General features: G+C 51.6%; 1 protein-coding gene across 5 annotated transcripts in view, besides 4 other annotated features; it reads right to left on the reverse strand.

Annotated features, from left to right (window-relative positions):
- Nucleotides 1-13,990, reverse strand: part of RILPL1 (Rab interacting lysosomal protein like 1) — a 63,666-nt gene that overhangs the window by 22,399 nt on the left and 27,277 nt on the right. For all 5 annotated transcript variants that reach the window (NM_178314.5, NM_001319243.2, NM_001319302.2 and 2 more), the window contains 2 exons: nt 6,966-7,084; nt 6,092-6,313 (listed from right to left, as the gene is read on the reverse strand). In NM_178314.5, coding sequence (NP_847884.2) covers nt 6,092-6,313; nt 6,966-7,084 — 341 coding nt within the window. The remainder of the gene's footprint in view (nt 1-6,091; nt 6,314-6,965; nt 7,085-13,990) is intronic.
- Nucleotides 431-1,242: an enhancer, noted in NCBI's record as "NANOG-H3K27ac-H3K4me1 hESC enhancer chr12:123977430-123978241 (GRCh37/hg19 assembly coordinates)". NCBI's record gives its function as "activates a minimal SCP1, AML or CMV promoter by ChIP-STARR-seq in naive H9 embryonic stem cells {active_cell/tissue: H9 hESC(naive)}" and the evidence as "EXISTENCE:reporter gene assay evidence [ECO:0000049][PMID:30033119]".
- Nucleotides 13,253-13,757: an enhancer, noted in NCBI's record as "H3K4me1 hESC enhancer chr12:123990252-123990756 (GRCh37/hg19 assembly coordinates)". NCBI's record gives its function as "activates a minimal SCP1, AML or CMV promoter by ChIP-STARR-seq in primed H9 embryonic stem cells {active_cell/tissue: H9 hESC(primed)}" and the evidence as "EXISTENCE:reporter gene assay evidence [ECO:0000049][PMID:30033119]".
- Nucleotides 13,253-13,944: a biological region, named in NCBI's record as "Sharpr-MPRA regulatory region 11641".
- Nucleotides 13,650-13,944: an enhancer, noted in NCBI's record as "tiled region #11641; HepG2 Activating DNase matched - State 18:Pol2, and K562 Activating non-DNase unmatched - State 18:Pol2". NCBI's record gives its function as "activates a minimal TATA promoter and a strong SV40 promoter by Sharpr-MPRA in HepG2 cells, with weaker activation in K562 cells {active_cell/tissue: HepG2 | K562}" and the evidence as "EXISTENCE:reporter gene assay evidence [ECO:0000049][PMID:27701403]".

Genomic DNA, 13,990 nt, shown 5'->3' on the forward strand with positions numbered 1-13,990 from the left:
CAGGGATTTCTGATGGGGGTGATGGGAATGTTCTGGACAGTGGTGATGAGGACACAATAGCTGAAGTGCATGGCATATGAATTACATCTCAATAAGGAAGTTATAAAAATAGAAAGAGCCTTGTCTCCTGGTGATCACACTGCAATGACAGTGACACAGCTTAGAAAGAACTGCATGGCAATGATGAGATGTGGGGAAAGGAACAGAGATCAGATTGTTACTGTGTCTGTGTAGAAAGAAGTAGACATAGGAGACTCCATTTTGTTCTGTACTAAGAAAAATTCTTCTGCCTTGAGATTCTGTTAATCTATGACTTACCCCCAACCCCGTGCTCTCTGAAACATGTGCTGTGTCCACTCAGGGTTAAATGGATTAAGGGCGGTGCAAGATGTGCTTTGTTTAAACAGATGCTTGAAGGCAGCATGCTCCCAGAGACACAAACACTGCGGAAGGCCACAGGGACTTCTGCCTAGGAAAGCCACGTATTGTCCAAGGTTTCTCCCCATGTGATAGTCTGAAATATGGCCTCATGGGAAGGGAAAGACCTGACTGTCCCCCAGCCCGACACCTGTAAAGGGTCTGTGCTGAGGAGGATTAGTAAAAGAGGAAGGCATGCCTCTTGCAGTTGAGACAAGAGGAAGGCATCTGTCTCCTGCCTGTCCCTGGGCAATGGAATGTCTCGGTATAAAACCCGATTGTACGTTCCATCTACTGAGATAGGGAAAAACCGCCTTAAGGCTGGAGGTGGGACATGCGGGCAGCAATACTGCTTTGTAAAGCATTGAGATGTTTATGTGTATGCATATCTAAAAGCACAGCACTTGATTCTTTACCTTGTCTATGATGCAAAGACCTTTGTTCACGTGTTTGTCTGCTGACCCTCTCCCCACTATTGTCTTGTGACCCTGACACATCCCCCTCTCGGAGAAACACCCACGAATGATCAATAAATACTAAAGGAACTCAGAGGCTGGCGGGATCCTCCATATGCTGAACACTGGTTCCCTGGGTCCCCTTATTTCTTTCTCTATACTTTGTCTCTGTGTCTTTTTCTTTTCCAAGTCTCTCGTTCCACCTTATGAGAAACACCCACAGGTGTGGAGGGGCAACCCACCCCTTCAATGAGACAGATTCCTTTCTAGCTCTGCAACCCTCCATAGCTCTCATGTCCTCCAAATCCTGCCCTGGGACAAACCCCTGACCCCAGCCACATGCTGCACGTTCTCCGGCCTAGCTCACTGTTCCCTCTGCCTGGAATGGCCTGTCCATAGTCCACCCTGGGACACAGGACCCGGCCCGATGCCTTCAAGATCTGTCCTGAGGCCCTGCCTCTTTTTTTTTTTTTTTTTTGAGATGAAGTCTTGCTCTGTCGTCCAGGCTGGAGTGCAGTGGCTTGATCTCGGCTCAATGCAACCTCCACCTCCCGGGTTCAAGCGATTCTCCTGCCTTCGCCTCCTGAGTAGCTGGGATTACAGGCACCCACCACCACGCCTGGCTTTTTTTGTATATTTAGTAGAGACGGGGGTTTCATCATGTTGCCCAGGCTAGTCTCAAACTCCTGACCTCAGGTGATCCACCCGCCTTGGCCTCCCCAAGTGCTGGGATTACAGGTGTGGGCCACTGCGCCTGGCCCTGTCCCTGCCTCTTGACTTCACCAAGCCCTCCCCTGATCTTATACTCCTCTCTCCCAGCTGCGCGAAACAGTGAACCTACTGAGTCAAGCTCATTCCCCTCACTTGTCAGATGACGAAATTGACCACCAAAGAGATGGACAGGCCTAGGTCACACAGCAGCAAGTGATGAAACCACCACAACCTGCAGCTCCCCTGTGTGACTGACAGGCATCCTGAACTCACAGAGCTCCAAGGGATAGATGCGAACCCAGCAAAGCTGCCCCGAGCCTGGGAAAGCGCACTGCAAAGCAGCCTGGAGGGTTCACATTACCGCAGCCTGATTTTACTCCCTCCTCTCTTCCCTGCCCCATTGGCTGCCAGACAGGGAAGCTGAAACTGACAGGCAGTCGCGCCAAGGTGGTGTGAAATGTCCCTTGCTGCTCAAGAGTCCTGGAACAGCGCTGGGAGTCTCGATGTTCTTGAGACCCCGGTGTGGGCCAGGCCCTGCCTGGCCAGGAGACCAGCCTGAGCTCCCGTGGGGCCTGAAGGTTGGAAGGGGCACACTAGGAGCAGGGAGCAGGGCAGAGGTGGCGACCGCACCACCCTCAGCCTGGAGGTTGTCTTTGGCACCAGCTTCCTTCCCACTGTCATAGATTGAGTTCAGCCCTCACATTCTCACCTGGGTTATTGCAAAGGGCTCCTGCCAACCATGTCTGCCACAAGCTCCTTCCCTGTCCTCCAGTGAAACAGCTGAGTGTATCGCTCGCCTGCTGAACCCCTGCGAGGGACCCGCACCCCTACTACTCAGAGCTCTGTGTGGTCCCTGGGTGCCGACTCCCCAGCACTGCAGACGACAGCTGTTGTCTCTGCCTGGCCTTTATCCTTCCCTCAGGTCTTTGCGCTAAGTCACTGCCGTTTTCTTCTGGAGAAAGACCTCCCTCCCACTTTTAGTCCATGTGGCTTGAGTCGCAGCCATGTGACTCAGGAATAAACATGCATATTCTAGGTCTCTGGCCACAGTAGTTGTTTCGGTGATAGGCCAATGAGGATTTCCTGAGGCTTTTGCTGGGACTCTAGGGAAAGAGGCCATTTCTTTTGACTGGGGTTGCTATGCTGGTCAAATACTAGTGGCAACTGTAGGCAAGAGCCTGGCTGAGAATGACAACAGCACAGAGGAAAGCAGGGCCTGAGAAGGTCGGAGCCACATTCCTGAGAGCAGCTCATGAACACCTGGAGCCAGCTGTACCTGAAGCTACCCCTAAGAGCTTTTAGTTACACAGTCAATAAATTCGTTTTTTCCCTCTTAAACATTTTTTTTTTTTTTTTTGAGACAGAGTCTCACTCTGTCACCCAGGCTGGAGTGCAGTGGTGCGATCTCGGCTCACTGCAAGCTTCGCCTCCTGGGTTCACGCCATTCTCCTGCCTCAGCCTCCCGAGTAGCTGGGACTACAGGTGTCCACCACCATGCCTGGATAATTTTTTGTATTTTTAGTAGAGATGGGGTTTCACCATGTTAGCCAGGATGGGTTCAATCTCCTGACCTTGTGATCCGCCTGCCTTGGCCTCCCAAAGTGCTGGGATTACAGGCGTGAGCCACCGCACCTGGCCCCAGTTTTTTTTTTTTTTTTTTTTTGAGACAGAGTCTCGCTCCGTTGCCCAGGCTGGAGTGCAGTGGTGCGATCTCAGCTAACGGCAACCTCCGCCTCCTGGGTTCAAGCAATTCTTCTGCCTCAGCCTCCCGAGTAGCTGGGACTACAGGCGCACACCACCATGCCTGGCTAATTTTTTGTATTTTAGTAGAGACGGGGTTTCGCCACGTTAGCCAGGCTGGTCTTGAACTCCTGAGCTCAGGAAATCGGCCTGCCTTGGCCTCCCAACTCTTAAACCATTTTAACTTAGGCTTATGTCATTTTTAGCCAAAAGCAGCCCTTAACCACTCCTTTTTTTTTCTTTTTTCTTTTTTTGAGACAGAGTCTCACCCCTGTCGCCCAGGCTGGAGTGCAGTGGCGTGATCTCAGTTCACCACAACCTCCACGTCCCGGGTTCAAGCAATTCTCCTGTCCCAGCCCCCCAAAGTAATTGGGACTACAGGTGTGCACCACCACGCCCAGCTAATTTTTGTATTTTTAGTAGAGATGGGGCTTCACCATATTGGCCAGGCTGGTCTCGAACTCCTGACCTCAAGTGATCTGCCTGCCTCGGTCTCCCAAAGTGCTGGGATTACAGGTGTGAGCCACCATGCCTGGCAACTACTCCCTTTTAAGACTTCTCTCCCTGACCTTCCTCATTTGTATCCCAGATGCCTGTCCTGTCCTACAGCAAACCTGGAAGTAACTACCAAATTCACAGGATACCTAATGACTACTGGGACTTGAACCCACCTGACTGTGAGCTTGTCTGTCCTACCTCCCCTACCTGTAACTCAGGTTACTAGTGCAGCGTCTGCAAACTTTCAACAGCTCATAAACATCTGCTGGGAGAAAACACAAGCCTGAGTGTGTCCCTAAAGTTCACTATACTTTTCTGAAACAGCATCTCCATTGTCCACATTTCTATCTGTCAAAGTCTCAGCATTGTTAACACTGACGCCCGGCTTCAGGAACAGCTCTTCCCTGAAACCCCACCTCCCCACCTCTGCCAGGATGAACGATCTCACCCTCTGTGTTCCTGGCACAGTCTGGGGGCACATTTAAGGAACAGACACCGCTAGTGCCCACTTTGTAGCCCTGGGCCTACCTGGATGTTAGCTGCAGCTGTGATGGACAGCTCTGGCCACGCGGACAGTAACATGCACAGTGTTGTGCGACCATCACCGCTCTCTAATTCCGGATCATTTCCATCGTCCCCAAAGGGAACTCCATGCCCATCGGCAGTCACTCCCCATTCCTCCCTCCCCCAGCCCCATTCGGACACCAGTCTACTTTCTGGCTCTATGGATTTGCCTGTTCTGGGACATTTCGTGCAAATGGAGTCACACACTGGCCTTTTGGGCCTGGCTTCTTTCACTCCGCGTGATGTTTTTGCAGCTCATCCGTGCTGCCGCGTGGCCAGGGCTGCATTCCTCTTTAGAGCTGAATCATATCCCCCTGTATGGAGAGACCACTGTTCACCCATTCATCTGCTGATGGACATGTGGGTTGTTTCCACCTTTTGGCGACTGTGAATAGTGCTGCTATAGGGTCTCACTCTGTTGCCCAGGCTGGAGAGCAATGGCTCAATCATGGCTCACTGCATCCTCAAACTCCTGGGCTCAAGTGATCCTCCTGCCTCATCTTCCCAAGTAACTGGGACTACAGGCATATGCCACCATACCTAAGATTTTCTTTTTTTGTTTTTTGAGATGGGGTCTGACTCACTCTGTTGCCCAGGCTGGAGTGCGGTGGTGCAATCTCAGCTCACTGCAACCTCTGCCTCCGAGGTTCAAGCAATTCTCCTGCCTCAGCCTCCCAAGTAGCTGGGATAACAGATGCCCACCACCACACCCAGCTAATTTTGTATTTTTTTTTAGTAGAGACGGGGTTTTACCATGTTGGCCAGGCTGATCCTGAACTCCTGACCTCAAGTCATCTGCCCACCTCAGCCTCCCAAAGTGCTGGGATTACAGGTGTGAGCCACCATACCCAGCCCAAAAGCAAGTTTTTAATTTTTAAAGAATTTTTTGTAGAGATAGGACCTCGCTATGTTGCCCAGGCCAGTCTTGAGCTCCTGGCCTCAAGTGATCTTCTTGATCCCCTTGCCTCAGCCTCTCAAAGGGCTGGGATTACAAGTGCAGGTGACCACACCTGGCCTTCATGTAAAAGTTTGAACACCTGCTCTCAATTCTTTTGGATATGTGCCTAGGAGTGGAATTGCTGGGTCATATGGTACTGTGTGATTAATGATTAAGGTCTGGACTAACTAATGTCTGCCTCCCATACTAAACTGTAAGCTCCATGTGGACAGGGATCATGTCTGTATTTTGCTCGCTATTTTATCCTCTGGGCCGGCTACACAGTCAACAATCATTGGTATGAATGAATAAATAAATGGCAGGTGCCTAATAACCATCACTGAGATGGGAGAATGCTGGGAGTCTGGGGTTCCAACCCCTCAGCTGTGTGTCCTCAGGCCAGTAGCTTGTTCTCTCTGAGCCTCTCGTTTTTTCTCTCTCTCTCTCTCTCTTTTTTTTTTAGACAGGTCTGGCTCTGTTACCCAGGCTGCAGCGCAGTTGTGCAATCATGGCTCATTGCAGCCTTGAACTCCTGGGCTCAAGTGATCCTCCTGCCTAAGCCTCCCAGGCAGGCAGCTGGTACTACAGGTGTGCACCACCACGCGTGGCTAATTAAAAAAAATGTTTGTAGAGAATTGGGGTCTTGCTATGTTGCCCAGGTTGGCCATTTTCTGAAGTATAATGGGGAAAACAAGGCAACCCTGCCTGCCTTAAGCCAACCCCCAGACTGACCCTCTGCTACCACCTCTGCACCCAGCTTCCTGCTCACCTCAGGCTCCTCCTCCCCATTCTGGCTGTGCTCCCCCTGCAGCCTCTCTCGCAACTTCCCCAGCTCTGCTCGCAGGCTGCCCATCTCCTGCTCCTTGGTCTGCAGGTCTGCCTCCAGCTCCACCTTCTGTTCGATCAGGGCTTTCCCCTGGGCCTCCACCACCGTGACCCGGTGCCGAAGGTCATGGTTGATCTTCATCAGCCGTGTCTGCTGCTGCTGTAACTGTAGAAAAAGGGAGACCATTGTGCGGGGCTGCCACCTGCGGTAGCTCAGGTTGTACACTGCACAACGGCAAACCATCCATAGGTGTGCCATTTACATTGCAGACATCTTTGTTTGAAAGTTGTTCGTATTCTTATAGCTGATGATGCTAGAGATGGGCAATTTGTGTATTTTCTATGATAATTTTATGGCAGATGGAAGGGTGTCTTGCTAGAATTAATACATTATGAAAATTTCCCAACAAATGGAAGTAACATGCCTTCAGAAAGGGGCATTTTTTTCTGATTTACACAGAGACACTGTATGGGTTCCTGGAGCACGCTGGACCCTGCTAAGTCTGCTCACAGAGAGGCATGAAGTGGTGGGGCTGGAGGAGGCCTTGGGGTCAGAGCAAAGTCTGCCCAGGCCTCGGGACCTTCCCAGGAGGCGGGAGGAGCCTGCTCACCGGGCAGTGCCACGTTTCCTCCTGCTCTGCCAGTGAAGACTTGAAGTTTCCAGGCTGGGCCCGCCAAGCCATGAGCAGGATCCACACCCCACGGAGCCCCAAGAATGAGAGTGAGGGAGAGAAGGGGCCTGCTGAGTGGAGGGTCTGGTCTCTGGCTGGCACCTACTGGCTGGGAGGGTGGACGCAGGTCAGGGGTGTGTCACTCACAGCCTCAACGTCCTCATTTTTCAGGCCCAGCTCCCTGTCCTTGGCGCGGATCTCGTCGCGTTGTTTGTCCACCACCTCCTTCAGCTTCTTCATCACCTGTCGCTCCCGCTCTGACATGCCTGGGTGGGCAAGTGAGACCGGCAGGTGAGCCCGCCTTACTCCTATGTTGAAATCATCCACCACTTCTGCTGAGGATGAAACTGAGGTCTTAGTGGCCCCCCGGCCTCCTCCCCAGCCTCATCCTCTCCACTCTCCACTCACGCCCTTCGCCCTCCCCGGTGCCTGCTTTCTATTCCTTGATTCCCCCCGAGGTCATTCCCACCTTGAGGCCTCTTCCTTGCCCATCAGTCCCTTCCTTCTCATCTCCCTGTGGCTGGCGCGCTTCATTTTTCAGGCCTCAGCCCAAATGTCACCTCTTCACAGAGGCCTCCCTTCCTCTGACCACTCAGTGACAGCCTCTACCTCCCCCACACCTCATTCATTCGCTTCTCTCCATCCCTGACCCACCATGTATTACTTTTTTTTTTTTTTTGAGACGGAGTCTCGCTCTGTCGCCCAGGCTGGAGTGCAGTGGCGCGATCTCGGCTCACTGCAGGCTCCTCCTCCCGGGTTCACACCATTCTCCTGCCTCAGCCTCCTGAGTAGCTGGGACTACAGGGCCCACCACCACGCCCGGCTAAATTTTTGTATTTTTAGTAGAGACGGGGTTTCACCGTGTTAGCCAGGATGGTCTCGATCTCCTGACCTCGTGATCCGCCCGCCTCGGCCTCCCAAAGTGCTGGGGTTACAGGCGTGAGCCACCGCGCCCGGCCTCATGTATTACCTTTATGGCACTTTTTACAGTTCCTATGTGTCCCTTTCTTTTTTTTTTTTTTTTTTTTTTTGAGACAGATTCTCACTCTGTTGCCCAGGCTGGAGTGTAGTGGTACAATCTTGGCTTTCTGCAACCTCTGCCTCCTAGGCTCAAGTGATCTTCCCACCTCAGCCTCCCAAGTAGCTCGAGGCAACAGACATGTGCTACCTCGCCTGGCTAATTTTTGTATTTTTAGTAGAGACAGGGTTTTGCCATGTTGACCAGGCTGGTCTCAAACTCCTGACTTCAAGTGATCCGCCCACCTCGGCCTCCCGAAGTGCTGGGATTACAGGCGTGAGCCACCGCACCCAGCCTCTTACATTCTTTTATCTGACGAAAGATGACGCTGCACAGTGATTCAGGCTGGGCTCAAGCTCAGACACTGGCTCTCCTATTTATCAGCAGTTTGGTTTGGAGCTAGCCTCTTTATGCCTCAGTTTCCACCCTATAAAGTAGGGTGATAACAGTCCCCGCAACTCATAGGGCTGTTGTGAGGATTGATTATGTCAACCTAAATGATGAACAGAGAAAGGTTCTCTAAAATAAGAGATGGGCCAGGCGTGGTGGCTCATGCCTGTAATGCCAGCACTTTGGGAGGCTGAGGCGGTTGGATCACCTGAGGTCAGGAGTTTGAGACCAGCCTGGCCGACATGGTGAAACCCTCTCTGCTAAAAATACAAAAAAAAAATTAGCCGGCTATGGTGGCGGGCACCTGTAATCCCAGCTACTCGGGAGGCTGAGGCAGGAGAATTGCTTGAACCTGGGAGGTGGAGGTTGCAGTGAGCCGAGATCGTGCCATTGGACTCCAGCCTGGGTGACAACAGCAAGACTCTGTCCCAAAAATAAAAAGTAAATAAAATTTAAAAATAAAATAAAATAAAAGATGGCCACGCATCTTGGCTCACACCTGTAATCCCAGTGCTTTGGGAGGCTGAGGCAGGAGGATCGCTGAGGCTAGGAGTCTGAGAGCAGCCTGGGCAACATAACAAGACCCTGTTTCTACAAAAAGATTTTTTTTTTTTTAACTAGCCAAGCGTGGTGGTGTCCACTTGTAATCTCAGCTACTTAGGAGGCTGACGAGGGAGGAACACTTGAGCCCAGGAGTTCGAGGCTGCAGTGGGCTCTGATTGCACCACTGTACTCCAGGCCTGGGTGACAGAAGACCCTGTCTCAAAACAAACAAACAAACAAACAAACAAAAAACCTCAGGCTGGGTGCCGGTGGCTCACGCCTGTAATCCCAGCACTTTGGGAAGCCGAGGTGGGCGGATCACAAGGTCAAGAGATCGAGACCATCCTGGCCAACACTGTGAAACCCCGTCTCTACTAAAAATACAAAAATTAGCTAGCCCTGGTGGTGAGCGCCTGTAGTCCCAGCTACTCGGGAGGCTGAGGCAGGAGACTCGCTTGAACCCGGGAGGCGGAGGTTGCAGTGAGCCAAGATCACGCTACTGCACTCCAGCCTGGGCAACAGTTCGAGACTCTGTCTCAAAAAAAAAAAAAAAGAAAGAAAAGAAAAAAAACAACCCCAAAAAACAAAACAAAAACTGTAATCCTAGCACTCTGGGTGGCCCAGGCAGGCAGATCACCTAGGTCGGGAGCTCGAGACCAACCTGACCAACATGGAGAAACCCCGTCTCTACTAAAAATACAAAATTAGCCAGGCGTGGTGGCGCATGCCTGTAATCCCAGCTACTCGGGAGGCTGAGGCAGGAGAATCACTTGAACCTGGGAGGGGAGGTGGAGGTTGTGGTGAGCTGAGATCATACCCCTGTACTCCAGCCTGGGCAACAAGAGTGAAACTTCGTCTCAAAAAAAAAAAAAAAAAGGAAAAGCTACTTATTTGGGAGTAGAGCGTTGCAATGGGAATCCACCTGCCATAGTAAACTATGTGTATTCAGGGAGGTAAAGGAAGACAACGATTTTTAAAGGAAAAAATAAGGAGGGTTACATAATTGTTTTGAAATATTAATAATTATACTTGGCTACAAAGATCAATAACAAGGGTGACTGTAGTCTGAGGCTGGACCGGCCACTGCCGGGCAGACGTCGTAGCAGAAGTCTTTTTGTGTAAGGTTACAAAGGCCTTTGTGCAAAGCTGTCGTTTTTCCAGAGTCTTTTTTGTTATCGGGCATGCAAGCGTGAAAACCCTCTCTTCATGGCTTTCCCGGGTTCCATTTGTCAGGGTTTTGGGTAACATTGGTGACCCCATTTTGATTCAGACAACTTTCACAGTTAATACACACAGAGCCCTGAAGATGGTGCCTGGCACACCGCAGGCGGGTGAGGCCCACCCCTCATCCCTAACCCTAACTAGACTGTCAGCCACAGGAGGGCAAGGCCCTATCTGCCCTAGTCACTGTTACATTCCCTGGGCCCCATATGGTGCCTGGCACACCGCAGGTGCCCATTAAGTTATTGTTGAATTAATGACCTGTGAGGATGGGTGCTATGTCAGTTTCCTGCACCTGCTGTAACAAATGACCAATAATTGTGGTATCCTAACACATCAGAAATTTATTTTCTCATAGCTCTAGAAGCCAGAAGGTCCAAATGAACCTGAAATCAAGGTATCAAGGTGTTACCAGGGCCATGCTTCCTCTGGACCTCTAAGGGAGATTTTTTTTTTCTTTTTTGAGACAGAGTCTCACTGTGTCACCCAGGCTGGAGTGCAGTGGTGAGATCTCGGCTCACTGCAGCCTCCCCCTCCTGGGTTCCAGTGATTCTCCTGCCTCAGCCTCCCAAGTAGCTGGGACTACAGGTCCCCGCCACCACGCTCGGCTAATTTTTTGTATTTTTAGGAGAGTCAGGTTTCACCATGTTAGCCAGGATGGTCTCGATCTCCTGACCTTGTGATCCACCCACCTTGGCCTCCCAAAGTGCTGGGATTTACAGGCGTGAACCACCACGCCTGGCCTTTTTTTTTTTTTTTTTTTTTTTTTTTTTTTTGAGACAGAGTCTCACTCTGTAGCCCAGGCTGGAGTGCAGTGGCGCGATCTCAGCTCACTGCAACCTCTGTCTCCCCGGTTCAAGCGATTCTTCTGCCTCAGCCTCCCAAGTATCTGGGATTACAGGCACCTGCCACAACCTGGCTAATTTTTTTGTATTTTTAGTACAGATGGGGTTTCACCACGTTGGCCAGGCTGGTCTCAAACTCCTGACCTCAAGCGATCCACTCGCCTCAGCCTCCCAAAGCAATGGGATTATATAGGCATGAGCCACCGTGCCTGGCCCAGAGAGATTTCGTTCCTTCCCTCTTCCAGCTTCTAGTGGCCACCAGCACTTCTCGGCTTGTGGTGACATTTCTCCAGTCTCTGCCTCTGTGGTCCCGTGGCCTTCTCCTCTTCTGTCAGTGCCAAATCTCTCCCTGCCTCCATCTTACAAGGACACCTGTGATTACATTCTGGGCTCACCCAAGTAAGCCAGGATAACATCCCCATCTCAAGATCTGGCCGGGAGTGGTGGCTCATGCCTGTAATCCCAGCACTTTAGGAGGCTGAGGCGGGTGGATCACGAGGTCAGGAGATCGAGACCATCCTGGCTAACACGGTGAAACCCTGTCTCTACTAAAAATACAAAAAATTAGCCAGGCATGGTGGTGCACGCCTGTAATCCCAGCTACTCGGGAGGCTGAGGCAGGAGAATGGCGTGAACCCAGGAGGCGGAGCTTGCAGTGAGCCGAGATGGCGCCACTGCACTCCAGCCTGGGTGATAGAGCGAGACTCTATCTCAAAAAAAAAAAAAAAAAAGAAAGATCTGGAATGAAATAACACAACTGCAAAGACATTACCACATCAGGTGACATCCACAGGTTCTAGGAACTAGGACCTGATATTTTGGGGCCATTATTCAGCCTTCCGTAGGTGCTGGGGCTGCCAGTGCACACCTGCTCCGTGAAGCCTGGGCTGGCCTGCAATGGCCAGGCTCAATCCGAGGTGAACAAGGGGGAAACGTCCCTCCTTAGCCCCCGGGACTCAGGACATGCAGCCAGATCTAATCCCATGAGGAGAAAGCACAGAGGCAACCCCTCAGCTATTTCTTTGGCATGACTTTCCCCCCCGGGTGCGCCATTGCATCAGAGTCCTTGCCGCTGACCTCCTCTCTCTTGTCTTGGTGGTCACCACCATGAACAAGCATCCCTGGTGTGTTTCCAGAACAGCAGGCGACGATGCCAGTGCCACAAAGCCAGGTAAGGCCTGGGTCCTGAGCTTGAGCTTGGGATTTTATATGATCGTCCTAGAGGCATCAGCCTGTCTCATTCGTCTCTGTATTCCAGGGCCCCACACATGACAGATGCCTGAGGCTGGCCAGTGAACGGGAACTGGTTCTTCTTCTGCACTCCCAAAGGGCAACGTACTCCTGCCAAGCCCAGGAAGGATAAACTGCTTTACACCCTGGACCTTATTTCATTCTCATTCCCAACCACTGGAAATGGGTCTTATTATCATTACTGTTGTTTCTAACATCAGTCTCATTTTACATATATGAAAAACTGAGGCCCAGAGATATTTTTTTTTCTCAAAGTCTTACAGCCAAAAACTCAAGCCCAGGTTTTCTGACTCCAGATCCCGTGTCTTCTCCATGATACCAAGCTGCCTTGTCACCAGGGCACGAGATGCAAAAGGCTCTCTTAAGGTCACCAGAATGTGTCACCACGGGGCAGACTCTAGTCCCCACTTTCTCCCAGACAGAGCCACCTTCTGGGGGTGCCCTCACATATTTTTGCATATGTGTACCCCCATCAGAATGTTCACCCATCAAGTTTTTTTGTTTTTTTTTTTATTTTTTTGAGACGGAGTCTCACTTTATTGCCCAGGCTGGAGTGCAGTGGCACGATCTTGGCTTACTGCAACCTCTACCTCCTCAGTTCAAGGACTTCTCCTGCCTCAGCCTCCTGAGTAGCTGGTACTACAGGCATGCGCCTGGCAATTTTTGTATTTTTAGTAGAGACAGGATTTCACCATGTTGGCCAGGCTGGTCTCGAACTCCTAACCTCAAGTGATCTGCCCTCCTCAGCCTCCCAAAGTGCTGGGATTACAGGCGTGAGCCACTGCGCCCAGCCTGTTTGTTTAGAGACAGGGTCTTGCTTTGTCACCTAGGCTAAAGTGCAGTAGCATGATCACAGCTCACTGCAGCCTTGACCTCCCAGGCTCAAGTGATTCTCCCATCTCAGCCTCCCCAGGACCTGGGACCACTGCGTGCACCACCACACTTGGCTAATTAAAAAAAATTTTTTTTAAGTCTCACTGTGTTACCCAGGCTGGTCTTGAACTCCTGGCCTCAAGCAATCCTCCCACCTGAGTCCCACCAAGTGCTAGGACTACAGGTGTGGGCCACTGTGCCCGGCCATCGAGTTTTTGTTTTCTGTTTTTTTTGACCCAGGGTCTCTGTCACCTAGGCTAGAGGGCAGTGGCAGGATCACAGCTCACTGCAACCTCTGCCTCCTGGGCTTAAGTGATCCTCCCACCTCAGCCTCTGAGTAGCTGGGACTATAAAGATGCACCACTACAGCTGGCTCGTTTTTGAATCTTTTTTTATAGAGACAAGGTCTTGCCACGTTGCCCAGGCTGATCTCAAACTCCTGGGCTCAAGCGATCTTCCCACCTCGGCCTCCCGAAGGGCCCTGATGGCAGGCATCAGCCACCACACCTGGCCATCAAGTGTTTATTGAGCACCTTCTGTGTACATGACACCGAACTAGTCATGAGGGTCAGCGTGGTGAATAAATGAAACCTGATTCTGCTCTCACTGGTTTACAGATGTCAGACAGGCACGTGCCATTACAGACCAAGTTGAGTGCCGTGACGGATGTGACAGGGGCTGAGAAAAGTGACCAGGGAGACCCCATGCAGACCATGGGTGCAGGGCAGGCCTCTCAGGGCAGGGGTCATTTCCGCTGAGACCAGAGGCCACAGAGGAAAGGAGGCCTGGTGGCAAGGACAGCGCAGCACAGGCGGCAGTGAGTGCAAAGGCCCTGGGGGAGGGGCTGCATCGGGGGATGAGGGCAATGCGGGCTGAGGCGCAGAGGCCATGGGGGTGATGCACGCATGAGCTAAAACAAGCCCAGGCCACACAGTGCCTTAAGGCATGGGTCAGGGGTTGGATTATCCCCTGCAGGGACAACAGGAGCCTCAGGGTCTCAACATGTAGGGGCTGTGCAAGGCAGGAGGGTC

The sequence above is a fragment of the Homo sapiens genome, chromosome 12 (genome assembly GCF_000001405.40).
Source record: "Homo sapiens chromosome 12, GRCh38.p14 Primary Assembly".
In the NCBI taxonomy this organism is placed as follows: Eukaryota; Metazoa; Chordata; class Mammalia; order Primates; family Hominidae; genus Homo; species Homo sapiens.